Genomic DNA, 22,032 nt, shown 5'->3' with positions numbered 1-22,032 from the left:
AAGAAAATATGAGCATGATTATTTCATTTCTGTTGTGTCCTCTTTGCAAATATGTAAGACTGAGTGCTTTGCCTGTGAAATTCTCATAGTGGGGACCTCTGCGCTTTTCTCCTGCTCACCTGCTTTTTCATTCAAACCTGTAGTGGGAGGAAACCTGTCAGCGTGTGTGGGTGACAAGAGTGAGTGAGAACTGGATGTATGGTCTGAGGTTACAGGAAAAGGTTGTTTATGTAGCCCCATTGGTACTCAGGAGATTGCAAAATGAAGCATTAAATTCAAATTTTCTGACTCACTATCCCCTTGAGAGAAGGACTTCAGAAAACACAGGTGTGCGGTCTACTGAGATGGAGGTTTCCTTTACAGTGGATTTCTGTGGAAATAAACTTTGACATTCTATCCCAGGGGTTACCTCTCAGAGAGACCCCTCGGGTGATGTGTATTTTGGAAACCTCAACAGGAATTTGTATTTAGGCGAGATTCACCTTTGGTAATGTCACTCACTCCTGATTTTCCTCCTCCCTCCCTGGACGGTGCTTCCTGCCCCCCACCCCCCCACCTTTTTTTTTTCCTCTGGCTCCTTCTTTTTTTCTGACTCCTAAGTGGTGACTGCTCCTGGATTAGCCCTGGGCTACGTTCTCTTAACTATAAACTTGTCCCATGGGTGTAAATATCATCTAGGTTCCAGTGACTTCCAAATTTTCACCCCTGATGTCCTCCTGGAACCCTGCACTTAGACATGGCAAGTGCTTATGTGGCTTTATGCTTGTCTGAGATCTAGAACTTACCATGAAAAAACACAAAGGAAAACGGCACAAAGACTTCTGCCCCTTCCCCAACCTGCTCCACATCCCATGTGTTAATGAAGGAAATTCCAGGTAAGGTAAAGATGTAAAAACCCCCCAAATATATGATGGCTGTAACACAATCACACACAATAAAAGTGTATTTCTCACTCATTTCAAATTGAAAATGGGTATCCCTGATCAGCTGGGGCTCTTCTCCCTGTGGCGTTTCAGGGACCTGAGTTCTATAGCTGTTGTTCTACCATCTTGAACATATCGTTTCCAAGATCACCATTCCTGTCCCAATTAGTGCTCAAGAGAACACGGAGGATCATCCATGGGAGTGTCCCATGGACAGTTTTAGAGGTGACTCACTTTTTTATTACATTTTACAGCTAAACTTCACACCAAACTGCAAGAGAGTCTAAGAATGAAGAGAAAACTGCTTTGGCAAGCAACTACCTAGTCTCTGACACAGTCCACCTTTTTGGTCAGCCAATATCCAGCTCCGCCTTGTCTTCTTACACAAAGCCCAGGCAAAGCCCAGGATTGCTAACTGTTGTACAAACCTGTTGGTCAGGCCTAGATGGAAGCTTTCAACCCCATTTCAAGTCAGCTGGCTTATCCAACCCTGAAAGGTCTGTGATCTCTCAGTTCTTTTTATAAACAGGCCTCTGCTTGCAAATGGCCAATTCTTGCCTGAGCTCATCTCTTTCTTGTAATACTTTATGAAAGGCAGCCAGTAGTAACTAATGCATAAATTTTTCCAACCAACTGGCCCAAAGGTCAGTAGACCTTTTTACCAAATGTTTCGCAATGTATAGCATGAATCTCCATCTTTCTCCTCTCTGTTATCAGGTTCCTCAGTGCCCAACCATTATGTCAATGCCTTTTACCTTAATTTTTTTCTTATGGCAACATTTTCTTCTGGAATTATTTCTGTACTGTAGCAAATGCCCTAAACTGTGTAAAACAGTTTGAAGACACTATTTTTTTTTCTATTTTTATCATTTGTTCCTCGGTCTACTCAATACGCTCCCTGCTTAAAACTCCCCTAGTGATTTTCTGTTGGGTTTAAAATAGAGTCTAAACTCTTTACCATGGATTACAAGCTTCTCTGTTAACTGGTTGTAACCTGCATTTCCAGCCTCCTTTGGCGCCACTCTTGTCCCACCAACTATATCACATTTCCTTTGGAACATTTTCTGCTTCTTGAACTTGCCCAGGTCCTTGCTGTTAGCTGGTCCCTTTGCCTATGATGATCTTCCTTCTTAGCATCACTTGAACTGCAAAAAATAAAAAATGAAACAAAAAACAAACTCCTGTGTGTTATTTACATCTAGAGGTTTAAATGTAATCTCCTTAAATAGACTTTCTCTGACTTCATACACCCTATTTTAATTCTTTGCATAGCACTTATTACTATCTGATTTCTTCTTCTCTCTTTCTCCTTCCTTCTTTCTTTTTTCTGTCTTTCCATCCTACTTTCCTTCGTCCTTCCTTCTTTTCCCTCCCTCCCTTCCTTCCTCCCTCCCTTCCTTCCTTCCTTTCTTCCTTCCTTCCTTCTCTCTCCTATTAGGATAGAAGCTTCATGAGACCAAAAATCTGTTCAATGTTATTCCATGGCTGTTACATCAAAAAAATTAACAATGCCTAAGCCTTTGTAATTGTCTAATAAATATTTGTTAGGTGAGTGAATGAACTCATCTTCTCAAGGAATTTATAGTACTAAATTTTACAATGAATCCAAAAAAGTCTAAAACTGGAAGAAACTTTATTGATAATTAAATATATTCAAATCCCCAATTTCATAGATAAGTAATTGAGTAACAGAAGTTGCAAGTTCTGGGGATATCTGAAACATCATCTCTTCTACCTCTAAATTTTATGATTATAAATTGTGTGATCCAAGTATACAGCTAGTTTATCTTGGATACTAAGAATTACGATATTTTTATTCATTTGCAGTCAATGACTAAGTGACCTAGGTTACAATGGTCACTGTGTACCAGGTATTCTCTTTGCTCTAATGGGTCAGTCAATGCAATCAGAGATAAATTTATATATCACAATGGTAACTCTCAGAGAGTTTCCCTCAATAATTTGATTCTAAGGGGAGACAGATCTTTTCCTTGCTGTTGAACATTAAGCTTTGCAGCTAATAAACCAGAGGTAGACAAACTACAGCCCATGAACTCAACCTGCTCTACCGCCTGTGTTTGTCAATAAAGGTTTTTGTTTGTTGGTTGGTTTGTTTGTTTTGAGATGGAGTCGGCCAGGCTGGAGTGCAGTGGCATGATCTCGGCTCACTGAAACCTCCACCTCCTGGGTTCAAGCGATTCTCCTGCCTCAGCCTTCCAAGTAGCTAGGACTATAAGCTCCACCACCACAGCCAGCTAATTTTTGTATTTTTTGTAGAGATGGGGTTTCACCATGTTGGCCAGGATGGTCGCGATCTCTTGACCTTGTGATCTGCCCGCCTCGGCCTCTCAAAGTGCTGGGATTACAGGCATGAGCCACCATCCCAGTCCGTCAATAAAGTTTTAAGGAGCTCAATAATATCCATTTATGTGTCATCTATGGCTGCTTTTATACTACAATGACAGAGTCAAGTAGTTGCGTCAGAGAAGGAATATCACTTGAAGCCTAAAATATTTACTATCTGGCCCTTTACAATGAAGCCTGTCAACTCCTGTAGTAAGCTATTTTCTCTGCAACCTCTCCTTCCACCCCCTATCCCACAAAACACCTTCTTCAGTTTATTAAAATGTAGGACTTTCTCATTGAGAAAACTTTAAAATACATACTACCTAAGTAGAGCAAGTGTGCTTCCTTAATAAACTGTAACAAAATTTTAGAATTTAATTGTATCTAAGGCAAAGTATTCTACTCTTTCTTTGAAGGAGGTTTCTGGCATGTAAAAGTGTCTCTCAAGAGATCAATAAAATAATATTCAGAAAAGTAGAGATTCAATGATAGATCATGAGTAACAGTCTAAAGGTTGTCTTTCATATTCATACTTCATTTTTTCTTTAGTAATAGAAGTTTTGGGTTTTAGCTAGTCAGGTAGACACCTGCTGAAATTGCATTTTTCCAACCTCTTTTGAAGCTTAGTTTGGCCACATCCTTACGTTGTAGCCACGGAAGCGCATACAGGGGGGATGTGAACAATTTCTGGGCCTGTTTTCACCTTTCCCTTTCTACTTCTCACTGACAGGAATGCATGTACCATCGTGGAATCTGGGCCAGTCACCTCAAACTATGAGAGCAAAGCTACATATCAGGTTGACAGAACAAGAGAAAGTGTGGGGAGCCCACCTCTGTGGAGTTGTCATGTTGGTTAAAACTGTTGACTCTTAGACTAACAGGGTGAATTAGTTCATTCTCACATTGCTATAAAGAAGTATCTGAGACCAGGTAATTTGTAAAGACAAAAGGTTTAATTGGCTCACGGCTCCTCAGGTTGTACAGGAAGCATGGTGGCTGCTGGAGAGACCTCAGGAAGCTTTCAATCATGGTGGAAGGTGAAGGAGAGGCAGACATGTCTTACATGGCCAGAGCAGGAAGAAGAGGGGCAGGGGAGATGCTACACACTTTTAAATGACCAGTTCTCACAAAAACTCCCCCACTATATGGTACCAAGGGGAGGGGGTGCCAAACCATTAGAAACTGCCCCATCGTCCAATCACCTCCCACAAGGCCCCACCTCCAACACTGGGGATTACAATTCTGCCTGAGATCTGGACAGGTTCACAGATCTAAACCATATCTTAGAATGACAGGAAATTATTAAGCCGCTGCTTTTTATTTTCCACTCTTTTTTCCCATACATGAATCTATATGCTATCACCGATAATAATGATAATATTAAAAATTCTCATTCACTTATAAAACACTGAATAGTGTATAAAATACTCCATAGTGAATTTAAGCATCTTACACATTTTACAGGAAGAAACCTGAATTTAGAGAGGAAAGTGCCCAGAGCACTACGTGATCTGGATAGAACTTGGGATTGATTCCAAAGCAGAGCATGGGACAGATGTGCTGCAATCCTAAACCAAAGACAACGAGACAATGAAGATACAGGCAATTTGGCAACTTTTGGGATTTTGATTTTATTTTTGGTCACTGGTCATTTCATAAGCATTCCCAACATCTCACTTTTGAATTGAAGAAACGGAGGCTAGCAGCAACTGACTTACTAAGGAGATGCATTCACTCAGCAGGTGTGAGTGAGATTTATTATACATTTAATTTTTGTCTACTCCTAAGATTATAATCTTTGCATTCAGTCCTGGCACTCTCACGTTGTCAGTCTTCTATGTCAATACCCTGGAAAGTGTTTTCAAAACTTTCTCGGTTTTTCTTCCTGAGAAAGTTCAAAGTCAGTTACCTCAGGGTTCTCCGGGTCAGAGGTTGATGTGGCCACTCTGACTCAGCCCCTGTGTCTTTGGATTACACAGTCATCAAGCCATGATGCCTTTTATTAGGAATTCATTCTGACTAACCTGATTCTTAAAGAGAGAAACACCATAATCCCACATAAATATGGAAATTATAGTAATTAATCAAAGATGTGAGGTAGATTTTGTTAATCTTATTTTCCAGAATGGGAAAGACAGGAGAAGAGAGGACAAGAAACTTTCTCAAGTTTACAAAGGAAGCCCCTAGTCAGAGCCCCTGTTCAGATCAAAGTCAGTATGCTTCTGGTGATAGATTGCTACTTTAGTGGAACCCAGTGAACCACATCTTCTGATATCCACATTCCTGTGTAGTTTCCTTCTGCATTGGCTCAGGGCGTGGTCATACTATTAGCTTTGTGTAATGTTAATTGTCTTAGTCCATTTAGTACCTGAGGCTGGGTAATTTATAAAGGAAAGAGGTTTATTTGGCTCATGGCTCTGCAGGCTTCCTAAGAAGGATGGGGCCAGCATCTGCTTCCAGTGAGGGCTTCAGGAAACTTCCAGTAATGGTGGAAGTTGAGCAGGAGCCAGCATGTGCAGAGATTTTATAGCAAAGAGGAAGCAAGAGAGAGCGTTGGGAGGTGCCAGGCTCTTTTTAACAACTGGCTCTTGTGAAAATTAAAAGAGTGAGAACTCACTCACTACCTCCAGGATGACACGAAACCATTCATGAAGGATCTGTCTCCGTGAGTCAATCACCTCCCATGAGGCTCCTACCTCCAACACTGAGATCAAATGTCAACATGAGGTTTGGAGGGACAAACACCCAAACTTTAGCACTAATATAAAGTAAGCTGGAGCTTGATAAGTGTTTGCACATTGTGTCATGTTTTTATGGATTGCTGGCTCTTGGAACAGTCTCTCTCTCTCAGAACCCAGCCACCGTGCTGAGAGAAGCCCACATTGCCATATTGAGAGGCTATTTGGGGGGAAATCTAGACACAGGGTGACAGCCCCAACAAAGCACCCAGGTGACAGCCAGCACTAACTTGCCACGTGCATGAGACATCTAAGGTGGATCTCCTGGCCACAATCAAGCTGTCCCATCTGATACCACAAGAGGCACTTTTCATGGCAAAAACTCCAATTACATTTGCACCAACCTAATAGTATCTTATGTACCATTTACAAAGGTATGCTTTGTAGAACTGATCAGCTGACTAAGGTCTATAGTATATGCCGTGGGGACAAATTTATCTTTTTAAAGTTCAAGCTGTATGCGTTCCTAGACTTTGTGATCAGGTCATATAAACACCATCCACTGATAACTAAGGCAAAAGATGCATAAGTTATTCCAGAAACAGAGAGAAACCAGTATTGCCAGTGAAACTTTTGGCTTCCTCATTGCGTACCATGACCCACTGAAACTTCAGAGCTGGAAAATATGAAAGTAAAATTGGTGACATCTCTTAAAAAGCATTTTTTTCCCCTCAATTACTCCTACCCTGTCAATTCCATTATGGCATGATTCAGCTCTCACAATTTGCAAATTATTTTCTCATTCTCACTGCAGTGCTGCTGATAGATGAACACTTTGGGAACGAAATCCTGGAAGAAGTTTGAGATTCATGAAGGGGATAAAGATGTTGCTGGGTAACAGTGTAGCTTTTGTGGACAGAGATGCTGGGGTGTCTCAGAAAGGAGTAGGAAGTCATTGGTGATAGTGTGGGGAAATTTTGTAATTCCCTTTGCAAAGAGCCCCTTCGCTTTTTAAATTCCTTGTATTTAGAGAAGTGCCCTCTCCCTTTACCAGAGAAGTTTAGGAAGGAAATGCAGCAAAGTAAAAATAGTCAATGCATACCTCACAGTGTGAAATGCAAGGTAATGATTGACATATGACAGCACTCACATGTCAGCTTCCCCTCTGTGATATTGACTTGCAACCTGTGAAGGAGACCTTACTTAAGATGCTCATGGATCAGAGTACAAAGAAAAAAAAATGTGTGTGATATTGTCTTTGAAGAGGGGAACTTTAGTTCAACTTCTGTGGCAGGCAAGAAGAAAGCAGGAAGTCAAACATTAAATGTTGAAACATTGATGACAGTCTGGGGTGAGCCTAAAAAATGCAGCACATCTGGAGAGCTTATTCAGACTATTAGCTGGTTTGTCGGATTCCTCCTCATCGATTTCTTACCACTTTATGAGCAGGTTTGAATCAAAGAGGCTCTACCTTTATTAGGTTAAACCTAGGCACATCTTGTTTGTTTGCAAGTGTTGACTGTTTTATTCTGGGTTTGGGGGTGAATTCGATATCTTACTGGAAAGTTTGTGCTGAAATTTGCTGAGGGCATTTGAGACCCAGAGTGAGGAAGGCACATGGATACTGTTTCTCCTACAGAGGCTTTGGAGGAGACTTCTGATTCTTGTGCCAAATAGTCCGGTGTGTCATTGACTGATTTGGGAAGAAACATTGAAAGGATATTTCCCAGTGTTTTGGAAGACCCAAGAATTTGAGACCAACCTGGGCAACATAATGAGATTCCATCTCTACAAAAAATAAAAAACAAAAGTTCACTAGGTGTAGTGCCACATGCCTATAGTCTCAGCTACTTGGCAGCTAAGGTGGAGCATCGTTTGAACCAGGAGTTTAAAGCTGCAGTGAGCCATGATCGCACCACTGCACTCCAGCCTGAGTGACAGAGCAAGACGCGGTCTCTTAAAAACAAAAACAAAAGAATACCACTAGTTACTGAATTCAAATAGGGTCACAGAAAGATGAATTCAGCATAGTGTAACACATCCTTGGAGGGAGAAGTGATGTGGCAGTTTCTTGGGCTACTACTTTTTTCAACTTGCAAGAAAGCAGCTTACAAATTGTAATTCAATCTAAAATACAGAATTCTGAGCCTTTGCCAGTTCATATTGGATTAATATTTCATTGCAGTAAATTGCAAAGTAAATCGAACTCAATTTAATATGTATTTATTGAGTACCTACCAAGTACTTGGCACTAGCATCAGCTCAAGGAATACATGGACGGATGTATCACAACCCCAAGATCAGAGGTTTATCTGGCTTTACATGTAAGTCCAGATGAGGCATGTTAACATTGAACTGGATTGTGACTCTACCTGCATTCACCAGACTGCATCTAGTGTAAAACTCCTTTCAACCATGTATTTCTGTGTAATCCCATGAGGTGGTTCACCTGAGCTTAGGATCAAGTCTATGCCCAGGCTTCAATGGCATCCTCCTGCCCACCGTTGCCCCTGCTGCAAAAGACTCTAGCACCTTCCTGATGCTGTCACTGCTATCCTCATGGGCAGCACCACCAATGCCCCACACCTCAGCATGCCAGTGTGTCCCACGCACTGTGGCCAAGTAGAAGAAAAGCAGGAGAATGGCTCCCCTTGTGTTTAGAGAGGGTTCTAAGTAGGACAATTTATGCCTCAACAATTAAATAAAACATCATTATCAGGTTTTACTTTTTGCACTGCTCCATCATCCTCTTACTACCATTCTCTCCCATTCCATGATCCAATATGGATCCTCAAGGCCAGACTAATGACGTATTAATCTACCAGAAATCACATTGTATTCAGAATCACTAATTCCCTCCAGCAACTCAGGTCTGAAGCTGATCCCTTCCTGCCAAGCTGCTTCTTCCCTTTGAAAGGGTTGCCCTCAATGTTTCTCTATCCCAGTTCTTGAATGAATGTATTCCTGGCAGATCCACTGACCAGACTTTCAGATATGCTTAGACATGGGTAAATTGCCTAGGCATGTTTGAATTGCTCATACACAGTAATGTGTACTTTATTTGAGTCCTGCATGGAGTCTTACATAGCAGGACTCTTTCTAGCACCTACTTCTCTACGAGCCCTGCCCCCCTTGTCAGATATCATTTCTCAGTGCTTGTCCACATGCCTCTTACCTTCTGTCCAATTCTGTGGAGTTATGGAGGTGCCTGTTTGTACTGTGTACTGTCTTACCTCTGTATATTTGCACATGATGCTTTCCTTGATCACATGTCTTCTCCTTCTCTACCTGATAAGCACTTGCTTATTCATATAGACTCTTCTGAAATTCTTCTTACTCTCTCACACTTGTTTCATCAGAGACCATCTGATTTTTGCTTTTACAGTAACTTGTGCCCACATTTAGGTATCACTGAGGCCATTATAGTCTAAGTGTAATTTTACTTGCTTATACTCTTCTTTGAATTCTGAACTCCTCAAGGGAAAAAAAAAAACAACACCTGTCTTATTGTTTTATTCCCAATGCCTGGCACAGAAGTCGACACAATGAAAATGTGGTCAATAGTTGTCAAATAGATTTCAACATAGATGTTCATGTTTAGATCAAAAAACAGTAACTATAAATGTCACCCAGAATCATTAGTGATATATGTTGAAAGAAATTATCCCTCTCTCCTCTGGGAGCTGCATGAATGAACATGAATGTGGAAATGCATGCTTGGACTTTTTATTTTAACTCAGAGGCCAATATCCAGAATCAGGGGCTTTATCCTAACACCCTCAAGGATGGCAGGGCAAAAGTTGAACGTAGGTATCTGCCTTTTTAGACTATCTCCTCTTTGAAGCTCTATAAAAACTATGCAAATCCCTTTTAGCAAATTATATTTTACTGTTAGCCACTTTGTGTAAATAAACTCAGAATAGAAGCAGACATGGTATGTTGAAATAATCATAAGAAACTTCATTGAAACCTCTTGGAGAAATGACCACAACTGGTGAAAAAACAAATAAAACCAACCACAAAAATGGTAAGTCAAAACAGAACAGACTAAAACAAGACAAACTGAAAGCAAAGCTTTAATGGCATTTTCACAGGAACTAAGGTCTCATTTATAATAATGTCAAATTGCAATGGCTGTTGGGATTCCCCTTTTCTGATGGTGGGCATCAGAGGTTCTGGGAAACTCATTTCTCCAAGATTCAGTCTAGAAAGAGTGGTGCTATCTTCAGTCTGGTTGGTGTTGGAAGTCAAATTTCCAAACCTAAAGTCCCAAATACATTGACACTCACAGCTCTTAACAAAGGCTGGCTGTGCATTTTTACATTTTTCTACACAATCCTCCTGTCTTCAAATGGTGTTATTTGTATCAGTCAAATATATATTCTCAAATCCTGGGTGATGCAATTTTGCTCGAGTTCTTTATAGAATTCATTATATCATATGCCCTTTAAAAGAAAAATAAAGCACATCGGTTGCTCATTTTGTTGCTGAACTTCAGTGGGAATAAGACAATTCTTTTTGATAAATGTGTGAATCATGATATCTGTTAATCCTAAAACATACTCTGCAAAAAAATGACATTCTGTATCTATGTAAAGAAATAGTGTCACATAAAGGATTACTTTATTTTTAACTTTTTATTATGGAAACTTTCCAACATACATAAGAGAAGACATAGTAGTAAAAATAAATTTGCATATAACCATCAGCCAGCCTCAAGAGGTATCAACTCATAACCAATCTAGTTTCATCTCTATCCCTGCTTACGATTGCCTTCACACAGACATTCTTTTGAAGCAAATCTAAGACATACATTTCATGCATAAATATATTGATAAGTATAAATAATTACTTTAAATATTATGAATTCAATTTTTTTTCAGTTCACCCAGACTTAAAAGAGAGGGAAAAGTTTTGGTCCAAATTACTTGAGTTAACTTGTCTACTTCCTGGCAATAATGTAGGAAGTCTATTCCTATTTCAATTGATGTTTTCACTCCATTTGATGTATCAACCAATATAAAAAAAGAGTTCTATAATGAATAACAAACCTTATGTAATGCCTTAGTTTTCTTCTTGTTGCTATAAAGGAATACCTGATGCTAGATAATTTATAAAGAAAAGAGGTTTATTTGGCCATGGTTCTTCAGGCTGTGCAGGAAGTGTGGCACCAGTATTTGCTTCTGGTGAGGGCCACGGGAAGCTTCCACTAATGGTGCAATGCAAAGTGGAGCCTGCATGTACAGAGATCACACGGCAAGAGAGAAAGCAAGAGAGAGAGAGAGAAGGGGGAGATGTCAGGTTCTTTTAACAACCAGTTCTCCTGGAAATTGCATTAGTCTGTTCTCATGCTTCTAATAAAGACATACCCAAGTCTGGGTAATTTATTAAGAAAAAGATGTTTAATGGACTCACAGTTCCACATGACTGGGGAGGCTTCACAGTCATGGTGGGAGGCCAAAGGCACTACTTACATGGCAGCAGACAAGAGAGAATGAGAGTCAAGCAAAAGGGAAAACCCCTTATAAAACCATCAGATCTCATGAGATTTATTCACTACCACGAGAACAGTATAGGGGAAACCCTCCCATGATTCAATTATTTCCCACTGAGTCCCTTCTACAACATGTGGGAATTACGGGAGCTACAATTCAAGATGAGATTTGGGTGGGTACACAGCCAAACCATATCAGGAACTAATGGAGCAAGAACTCACTCACTCTCTCCTCCCCAGGGAGGGTATTAATCTATTCATGAAAGATCCTCCCCCATGTCCCAAACATCCAAGCATTCTCCCCTGGCCCCCCAAATCTCATGTTCTTCTCACATTACAAAATACAATCATTCCTTCCTAATAGTTCCTAAAATTCTTAACTTGTTCTAGCATCAACCTAAAAGTCCAAAGTCCAATGTCTCATCTAAGACTCGAGGCAAATTTCTTATGGCTCTGAGCCTGTAAAATCAAAAACAAGTTATTTACTTTCAAGATACAACGGTTGCAGAAGTATTGAGTAAACATTTCCATTTCAACTTTAGGTGAGTTTTTTTGCTGCTGTATCTAATTAGCTGTTAAAAGCAGCCACACTGCTTCTTGATGACTTTGCTGTTTAAAAATTTTTTCTGCCATATAGCCTACGTCACCTCTCTTACTTCAGCCTTCCATAGAGCCCTAGGTTATGAACACAATGCAGCCAAGTTTTTTGCTATGATGTAACAATGTTCACCTCTGCTCCAGTTTCCAATAAGTTCCTTATTTCCATCTAAAACCTCATCAGCATGGCCTTTACTATCTCTGTTTCTATCAGCATTTTGGTCACAACCAACCACTTAACCAGTTTCTAAAAAGTTCCAAACTTTCCCTCATCTTTCTGTCTTCTTCTGAACCCTCCAAACTCTTCCAAACTCTGCTTCCACATTTTCAGGTATCTTTATAGCAACATCCCAATCCTCCATATAAATTTTCTGTCCTAGTCTGTTTATTGTTGTTATAAAGGAATTCCTGAGGCTGGGTAATTTGTAAAGGAAAGAGGTTTTTTAGCTCATGGCTCTGCAGGCTCTGCAAAAAGTATGGCACTAGCATCTACTTCTGATGAGGACCTCAGGAAGCTTTCATGCATGATGGAAGGTGAAAGGCAGCCAGTGTGTATAGAGATCACATGGCAAGAGAGGAAGCATGAGACAAGGGAGGGAGGTACCAGATTCTTTTTAACAACCAGCTCCCATGGGAACTAATAGAGTGAGAACTCACTCACTTCCTCCTACCCCAAGGGAGGACATTAATCTATTCATGAAGGATCCAGTCCCATGATTCAAACACCCCCATTAGGCCCCTACCTCCAACATTGAGATTAAATTTCAACATGATATTTGGAGGGGTCAAATATTCAAACCATAGCAGGTAACATGATAAATACTGAGTGACCTTTGATTATTCCTGTTTAACCTTTGCTATATTAGTATTTTTGGTTTGTCTCTTGATTAATACATTAATTCAATTATTCATAAATAATACACTGAGAACCTACTATGAACCATGCACCAATCCTAAGTTCTGGAAATACAGAGATTTATTAGGCCTTTTGCACTCCATGAATTTAGAGACTTGTGAAATAAATAGACAAAAAGCTAACTACAATGCAGTATGAGGATGACTTGGCTACCAGTGCTAAAGACAACCCTCTTAGTACTGTAAGTTCCATTGTCTTCCTTATTTGCCTCCTTGAGTTAGTAAGATTTTTTTATGAGTCAATGGGAAGATGCATTTGACAGCTATCTCCCTGGTGTTCCTGGCATTGCCCCTGATTTTCTAGCAGGTAGTTAGACTTTCTGCGGATTTCATGAAACAAGAAAATTACTCATTCCTCATGTTAGCAATGCCAAACGGTATATCATTCCTAGGCTCCTATGAATTTCTCAGCACCTGATATGAGTCCTCAACCTATTTCTGATAGGACAACTTGTCTTTCTTCTTTCTTTTTTGGAAGTGGCACAGCTTAGTCTCAAGATAAAGCAAGCCTCCTGGAGAAAATCCAGGACAGCTTCATTACCCCCAGTGGAGTGAAGAACAGGCATTGTGTTCGTATGGCCTAGTCTTTCCAATCTTCACGGGAGGGGGAAACAGAGTGCTCACATGCTATTGGTTTAGGCTGTAGTCAAAGGGCAATTGTTTTCTTCCAGAAGAGACATCTGAGACTATTTTGAGGAAAAGAAGAGAATCTTGCTGGGATTTTGAAAAGAACAGCAGAAACCTTTCAGAGAAACTTGGTAGAGCCTAAGAGGAGAAGAGAGGAGGGTCCACAGGGATGGGAGGCCAGATTCAGCTACCAGCCTCACCTCAGGGGACAGGGCTTTGAGAGAACAACTATTCTCTGAAACACTGCTGAAGTACCTCCAGGGGCTGGACTAGACCAGAGATTCTCACTAACTTCTTTAAACTTTTGTTAAATTTTAAAAACATAAAAAATACAAAAAGTACAGGGCACTATATAGCAATATCCATAGGCCCATCATCCAGAATAAGTGAAATAACAACTGAACAAAATAACAGCTTGTCATATTTGCCTCATAGATATGTTTGTTTCGAAAACATATAGCTTATATACAATGCCTAAGATTTGTATAATACAGATGAAATCCTATAGATGACGTTATCCATTCCTCTATTGATAGGCACTTTAAAATTGTAAAAAACACCACCATAATTATCAATATCTTATATATCACTGTGTGCACACTGTAAGAGTTATCAAGGTGTGTGTGGGGTGTCTGTGTATGTGTGTGTGATGCGTATGCATGTGTGTGTGGTGTGTGTGTATGTGTATGTGTGTGTGGCGTGTATCTCTGTGTGAGTGCATGTGTGTGTGGGGGTGTCTGTGTATGTGTGTGTGGTGTGTATGTATGTGTGTGGTGTATGTGTGTACATGTATGTGTGTGTGGTGTGTGGTGTGTGTGTGTATGTATGTGTATGTGTGTGTGGTGTGTATCTCTGTGTGAGTGTATGTGTGTGTGGGGAGTCTGTGTATGTATGTGTGGTGTGTAGGTATACGTGTGTGTGCGTTGTGTGTGTTTCTGTATGTGTGTGTGGTGTGTATGTATATATGTGTGTATGTGTATCTGTGTGTGCTGTGTGTCTCTGTGTGTGAGTGTATGTGTGTGTGGGGTGTCTGTGTGTGGTGTATGTATATGTTTGTGTGTGGTGTGTATGTGTGTGGTGTTTGTGCATCTGTGTGTGAGTGTGTTTGGGGGGAGTCTGTGTGTGTGTGGTGTATGTACATGTTTGCATGTGGTGTGTGTGTGTGGTGTATGTATCCGTGTGTGAGTGTGTTTGGTGGTATTTGTGTATGTGTGTGTGATGTGTATGTATGTGTGTGTGGTGTACCTGTGTGTATGTGTATGTGTGTGTGGTGTGTGTGTATCTGTGTGTGTGGTGTGTATGTCTGTGTGGTATGTTTGTATATGTGTGTGTGGTGTGTGAGTATGTGTGTATATGTGTGTGTGTGTGTGTGTGTATGGGTCTGTGAGTGTATGTGTGTGGGGGGGTCTGTGTGTGTGTGGTGTGTATATATGTGTGGTGTGTGTGTGTATGAGTGTGTATATGTGTGTGTGTGCTGTGTGTGTATCTGTATGAGAGTGTGTGTGTGTGTGTGTATGTATTTGGGGAAGAGGGTAGGTGGGTATCTACCTGCTTTCTCACTATCCTGGATATTCAGCGGGCTCTTTCAGACTGAAAAAGCAGTATTTTAGTTCTGAGAATTTTTCCTTTATTTCCTTTGATAAATTATTTGATAATTTCTTTCCTTCCATTTTACATGTTCTCTTTTTCTGAAAATACTGTAAGTCAGAGAGTGAATATTCTAAAGTAATTCTCTAAAAACTTTCCACTACTCCTTTTTTTTTTTTTTGAGATGGAGTCTGGCTCTGTCACCCAGGCTGGAGTGAAATGGTGCGATCTCAGCTCACTGCAACCTCTGCCTCCCGGGTTCAAGCAATTCTCTGCCTCAGCCTCCTGAGTAGCTGGGATTACAGGTGCATGCCACCACGCCCAGCTGATTTTTGTATTTTTAGCAGAGACAGGGTTTCACCATCTTGGCCAGGCTGGACTTGAACTCCTGACCTCATGATCCACCCGCCTCGGCCTCCCAAAGTGCTGAGATTACAGGGGTGAGCCACCATGCCTGGCCTCCTTTTCTATTGTGAAATCTTTGCCTTTTTCTTAGACTTCTTATTAATTTTCTCTACTTTATTTCCAAACATTGTATTAAATCTTATAATTTTCATTTCCATATTTTCATTCTTGTTTGTTGAGAATTCCTTGAAAAATTATTTTCTTGATTCAAGCAATTTTCTCTTATCTCCCTGATCATATGTGTGGGAGTGCACGTATTTAATTTTTCATGCCATACATTGCCTTGTTCCTTCTGAGTTCTTTCTCTGTTTTTTGTTTGTGTTTTGTTTTTGTTTTGTTTTGGGTTTTTGTTTTTTTTTTTGCCTTTTGATTTATTTCAGGGATTTCCACAAACAACAAGTGATCCACTATTCATTCCTAAATAAGAAGTGACACTAACATGTTGAGTGTAAGCCGCGTCCATGGGAGGATTTGTGAAATGGTAAACTGAATTGGAGGCAAATTGAGCAGAGATCCAGAAGCTATTCTGGGGGCTGCCAGAATACTAATATCCCTAGGTCTTCTCTCTTGGATCACTCTACTTAGCCAATCTAGAATGTATCAGCATCTTCCCTTGGGGTTTTGAGCCTACACTTTGGAACTAAGTGGGAGAGGAGGATAAGGGGATTTATTGTTCCATAAATACATAATTGTTTACTGAATTCTCCTGTTTGTGATTTGAATGGCACTACCCCCTGCCCTCACCTGGGCATGGCATCTGGGCATACAGAGCTTTAAAAGGCTCTTTTTCTCAGAATAATCTTTATCTTTTGCTGTAGTTGAAGGAATGAGAGAAGAAAGGAGGAAACCTGGAATCTAGCTCCTTCTTGCAGAGAGTCTCAATTGACTTTTCTGCTTTTAAGATCCATTCCTTACTTTGCTTTCAGAGGTACACGGTGTCTCTAATTCCTAAGCTTTCTACATTCCATTTCATTGATCATTTTGCTTATTTTTAGAAGTCCTTTTTCCTTATAGCACTTAGGGTTCTTTATCTGTGGTCATCTCATTGTTTTTCCTTGTCCTTTTAGGTGGCTTTCTGCGTAGAAAAAGAACAGACGCATGGTAATAGTTACCATATTTAAACAAAAATCTTTTTGATACATTTTCAAATCTGCATGTTATTTTATTATCTTATTCCTTGTCATGTGTTGTTCTCAGGTGTAGTGTACACTATTCATTTCACTGCATCTTTCACATACTGATTTTTTAGTCACTTTTCTCGAAATGGCTGTATTCAGGCCAGTCAACTTGCTGCTCTCATGATAGTTTCCTTCTGTGCTTTGCGTACGCTTCATCTGTTGACTTCTGAGTCAATTCAATATGGGTACTGCTTTTTATAAGCAGATTTTGGGGGAATTAGTTTCAAGCTTGCTTCTTTTGGGGTCCTCCTTGTTTCTATGGTGGTCTCCAGTTTTTATATTTGTTTTTAGCTAAGAGTTTTCCCCACATTGTTAGAATTCCAGTTGCCTGCAGGGCCTCTACATTCACCTAAGCCTTGGTAGGTGGCTTAATTGCAGGGCATATGGCTGTTTGGAGAATGCAGATTTTGTGGACCGGACAACTTTTCCCAGATTCCAGGCTTTGTGCACAGAGTATGTTTTTAGCTCTCAGCCCCCTCTACTTCATCCAGCACAGGGTCTGGGGCTTTAACAGCCAGAAAGTCGACAAGGGCAATATACACCCAGACCCTAAGGCACACATGTGGACTCCTTGCCTCCTCAATCACTGGGCTTCAACTCCGACTTACTGCTTGAGGTATGAATTTGCTCTTCTATGGCATCTGGATAGTATCTTTCCTGTGCTTTCAAACTCGGATACTTTTTTCTCATATTTTATCTAGCATTTTTACATTGTGAAGGAGAAGAAGAACAAGAGGGAGACAGAACCCAGAGTCCTCATTTTATAGCTATTGAGCTGCTCAGTGTGTGTGCACGCATGGGTGTGTACATACACACACGATCTCTTTCCATGCTTTGAGGCATTTCACCCCAGGTGGCTCCTAAGCCTGAAGAAGCTTTAAGACAACTCACAGGTTTTTTAAGTGGGAGGGAGAAAGGACTCCCACTTCAGGGTCAAGTGATCACATCAAGGCACCCTGAGCACAAGAGAAAGTGGGCATGTCTATTACTAACACGAATAGAGGCTCACAGAAGTTCCCTTAACAAAATACCTTCCTCCTAGGCTATTCACACTTTGAAATCCCACTCAGACTGAGTCTTCTTTTATTTCTGAAGGCAGCTACTTTTAATCTGATGTCTCTCACTAGATAGACTTTAGGGGGTCCATCAAAGTCTTGAAATTTTATGCCAAACTCTATGGATATGGGATTTATTTCAGGTGAAATAATCTAGAGTGTTTATCTTCTGACAGTATACAAATAATCCTAGTGATGAAATATACTTAGGCTTATTTATCACGTTTATGCTTTGATTTTTCAAACATCTCAAGAGGGGTAGTGAGCTCCCAGGGACAGGAACAGGATCTGCTGTCTCTTTATCCCCATTCTTACACAGCATCTGGCACTGCTTCAATGAATGACAAGTATCTGTTGAATGAATGCATGAAAAGAAAAGTGGTAGAGTGATGGAGAGTGGCACTGCTTTGAAAGGGGAATGTTGGATGGAGTGGCCCAGAGAGGAAACTCGATGACTGGGATTTCAGAGATAAATCCATTGGTCTTTACAATATGTCACTTGGCTGAAAACAGTTAACCAATGAACAAAAGAAAATTAATTATTAAAATCCCTGACTGAGTAACTTTTCATAAATATTTCTAAAGCATAAACAATGACAAAACGTGCATGCTCTTATGCAGTAGAGGTAATAGAGATTAATACAGATCTAAATTGTGTGCTATTGAGCATCAGGGCAGGAAAAGAAGCCAGAGATATTCCACACATGGCCTCCTCTATTAACCCATTTAAAAATAATGGGGCAAAAAATTTGATCACAATTTTCAGATCAACTTCCCACCAGGCCTCCAGGGAGCCTCCAATTTTATCCCATCTCCATTATGCTTTGTAGAAAGACACATGACTTCTTTATCTCTCAAAATAAGAACCAGGCTTCTTGGACAGATGATGCAAGAAGGCAATTATGGGCACACCAATTGCTTCCACAGCTTGGAAGAGAAGTCCCTGATATACAAACATGCTGCTCTGCTCTTCAAAAAGCCTCTCAATCTGGAAGGAAGGTCACTTGAGCCCAGATGTTCAAGGCTGCAGTGGGTTACGCTGTTGCCACTGCACTCCATCCTGGATGACAGACCGAGATTCTGTCTCAATAAATAAATAAATAAATAAATACCTCTCAATTTGGACTGTGTTTGATTGCATAAGCCCTTTCCCCATCTCCAACAGATTTTATAGTTAGAAGGGAAGGGACGTTTGAACAGATATTGGGACAAATTGAAGCAGGATTTCTGAGAAAATGCAGTTACAACTTTAGTATAATATCCTCCCTGCCAATCTAGTGGGGGCACAGTAAAAATAGATGAAGTGGCCTGCACAGTGCTAAGTGGCTTCAGTCCCTCATGCTTTTTCATATATTTCTACCAGGTTTCCAGAGCAGTGTCTGCTGCCAATCACAGGTGTTCACTGAGGAGGAACTCTGAAACAGAAAGTAAATAATACGCTAATTATCTTAGTTGGAGATAGGTGGGGAAAGGAATGCATGGCAGGGAGGGTCAAGTGAATATATTAATAAATAAGTAAATTTCCTAACAAGTAAAATATGTCTTTTGAAAGCTTCCAGACTAGATTATCTGTGGAGATTTCCAGAATCCCCCTGCCCCTGTGGAATATTCTACCATTTCTCTAACATCCTTATTTCCTATAGTAAATTCATAAAACAGAAGTTCATCTCTAAAATGAAGTCAGCATTCGGAGCAAAGAAACCCCAAAGCTGCTTAAAATTGTCTGGAGCTTTGGAAACACACCCAGAACTACTCAGGAAAGTACAAGTCCTTGTTCCCATCTTGCCGGCTTTGCAAAAGGGCTCATGTCCCTCCAGCATCATAAATTATCTTTCCAGTATGGGCCCTGGTTGAGTAGCGCAAGTCAAAGACAAAGGGCTGGTCACAGGCACATTTTGAAATAGGTTAAGCTTGCTTCTGGAGTAGTCTGTTTTTTCTGTGGAGCTCTGACCTACCTCGCTGGGTTCCTGAGCCTCTACTTTCTATAACTTAACTGGTAGCCTTGTCTTCCTCCCCTTCAGTCCCACTCCAGCTCACCAAACCTGGGCTGCCTTGGGCCAATCGCACATTCACCACAACATTAGAGATGTATATTTCTAGGGTTCAGTGATACTTACATTTCTGCATTTAAGATCTCAGACTCTTTGGGAGGCCAAAGTGGGTGGATCACTTGAGGTTGGGAGTTCTGAGACCAGCCTGGCCAACATGGTGAAACCCAGCCTCTACTAAAAATACAAAAACTAGCCCGGTGTGGTGGCGTGCACCTGTAAGGTGCATGGGAGACTGAAGCACAAGAATTGCTTGAACCTGGGAAATGGAGGTTGGAGTGAGCTGAAATCACACCAATGCACTTCAGCGTGGTTGACGGGGTGAGACTCTGTTTCAAAATAAAATAGAATAAAATAAAATAAAGATCTCAGACTCTATTTGGCTTCCAACCCCTCAGTCAATTATAATTTGTTAGTTCTGTGATCTTGGGGGCAACCACAAGGCTTTAATAAGTCATGTTTTCTCATCTGCAAAATGCAGATTATAATTATATTTTTGGAAATTATTTTGAAAATTAAGTGCACAAATGTGTGAGGTATGAAATGTTCTAATGCATGGGCAATACTCAATAAATATGAGAGGTCTTCAAGAAGTTCATGGAAAATGCGTATTATGGAAGAAACTATCCATTGACCCCAAAATTTTTGCACCAAAATAATCTCATACTAACTTGTTATAACACATCTAAATAGGACCTAGATTGAGGCACTAAGAAGGATAAGACATCACTTTGAAAAGAGCTTCTCTCAGAGCGACGTGAATTTGGCTACAATTGAAGCAAGAACAAACATCATATTTATGATGAAGCATGGGTGGAAGAATGGTGAAATAATTGATGCTTTAAAGAAAAGTTTATGGGACAATGTCCCAAAGAAACCAGCAGTTTACAAATGAATAACTTGTTTTAAGAAGGGACAAGACAATGTTAAAGACGAAGCCTGCAGCCACAAACCATCCACAACAATCTTTGAGGAAAACAATGAAACTTGTTCATGCCTGAATTGAAGAGGACCAATGATTAACAGCAGAAACAACAGCCAAGTCCACAGTCATCTCAACTGGTTCAGGTTACACAGTTCTGACTGAAAAATTAAAGTTGAGCAAACTTTCCATTCAGTGGGTGCCAAAACCATGCACCCAGATGAGCTGCAGACAACGGCAGAGCTTTCAATGGAAATTTTAAGCAAGCGGGATCAAGATCCTGGAGGATTTCTTTGAAGAACTGTAGCAGGAGATGGAACATGGCTTTACCAGTATGATCCTGAAGACAAAGCACAATCAAAGCAATGGCTACCAAGTGGTAGAAGTGGCCCAGCCACAGCAGAAGTGGACCGGTCAAGAGCAAAGGTCATGGCAACCATTTTGTGGGATGCTCAAGGCATTTTGCTTGTTGACTTTCTGGAGGGCCAAAGAATGATAGCATCTCCTTATTATGAGAGTGTTTTGAGAAAGCCAAAGTTTTAGCAGAAAAATGTCTAAGAAAGCTTCATCAGAGGATCCTTCTCGACCACGACAATGCTCCTGCTCATTTCTCCCACCAAAAAAGGGCAATTTTGTGAGAGTTTCTATGGGAGATCATAAGGCAGCCACCTTACAGCCCTGATTTGGCTCCTTCTGACTTCTTTTGGTCTCCTAATCTTAAAAATATCTTTAAAGGGAACCCATTTTTCTTTAGTTAATTATGTTTAAAAGACTGCATTGACATGGTTAAATTCCCAGGACCTTCAGTTCTTTAGGAATGGACTAAGTGGCTGGTATCATTGCTTACAAAATTATCTTGAACTTGATGGAGTTTACATTGAAAACTAAAGTTTATATTTTTAATTTTATGATTTCACTCAAATTTTCCACTAACTTTTTGAAGGCCCTTTATAGTACTATTATTACTATTGTTATGGTCTAAATAATATTTAACCCAAACAAAATATTTCATAATGATAGGTCCTTATAAATCATTAAGAGAAACAGGATGGAAAAAAATTTTGTCATAGGTTAACTCTGTTTTTCTATCTATCTTACTATCTATATATCTTCATCATCATCATCATCATCTATATGTCTATATCTATAATAGGGGCACATGAGAAGATAATGGGTAAGATTTAAAATTGAAAATGTCTCCATTTCTAGGGTGCATGATTTTCACCAATATGAACAACATTACCTATATGAGCCATG

The 22,032-nt window shown here is 40.2% G+C and overlaps 2 long non-coding RNA genes across 4 annotated transcripts in view; both read left to right on the top strand.

The window, feature by feature from the left end:
• LOC105369203 (uncharacterized) overlaps positions 1-2,480 on the top strand; it is a 35,447-nt gene extending 32,967 nt beyond the window's left edge. For all 3 annotated transcript variants that reach the window (XR_002957694.2, XR_243236.5, XR_932631.3), the window contains one exon: positions 1,178-2,480. This is a non-coding gene — a long non-coding RNA (uncharacterized LOC105369203). The remainder of the gene's footprint in view (positions 1-1,177) is intronic.
• LINC01581 (long intergenic non-protein coding RNA 1581) overlaps positions 1-22,032 on the top strand; it is a 202,536-nt gene that overhangs the window by 41,469 nt on the left and 139,035 nt on the right. The window lies entirely within an intron of this gene.

Source organism: Homo sapiens, chromosome 15 (genome assembly GCF_000001405.40).
Source record: "Homo sapiens chromosome 15, GRCh38.p14 Primary Assembly".
NCBI classification, from domain to species: Eukaryota; Metazoa; Chordata; class Mammalia; order Primates; family Hominidae; genus Homo; species Homo sapiens.
The sequence above is the reverse complement of the archived record's forward strand: the minus strand, read 5'-3'. Positions and strand labels throughout refer to the sequence as shown.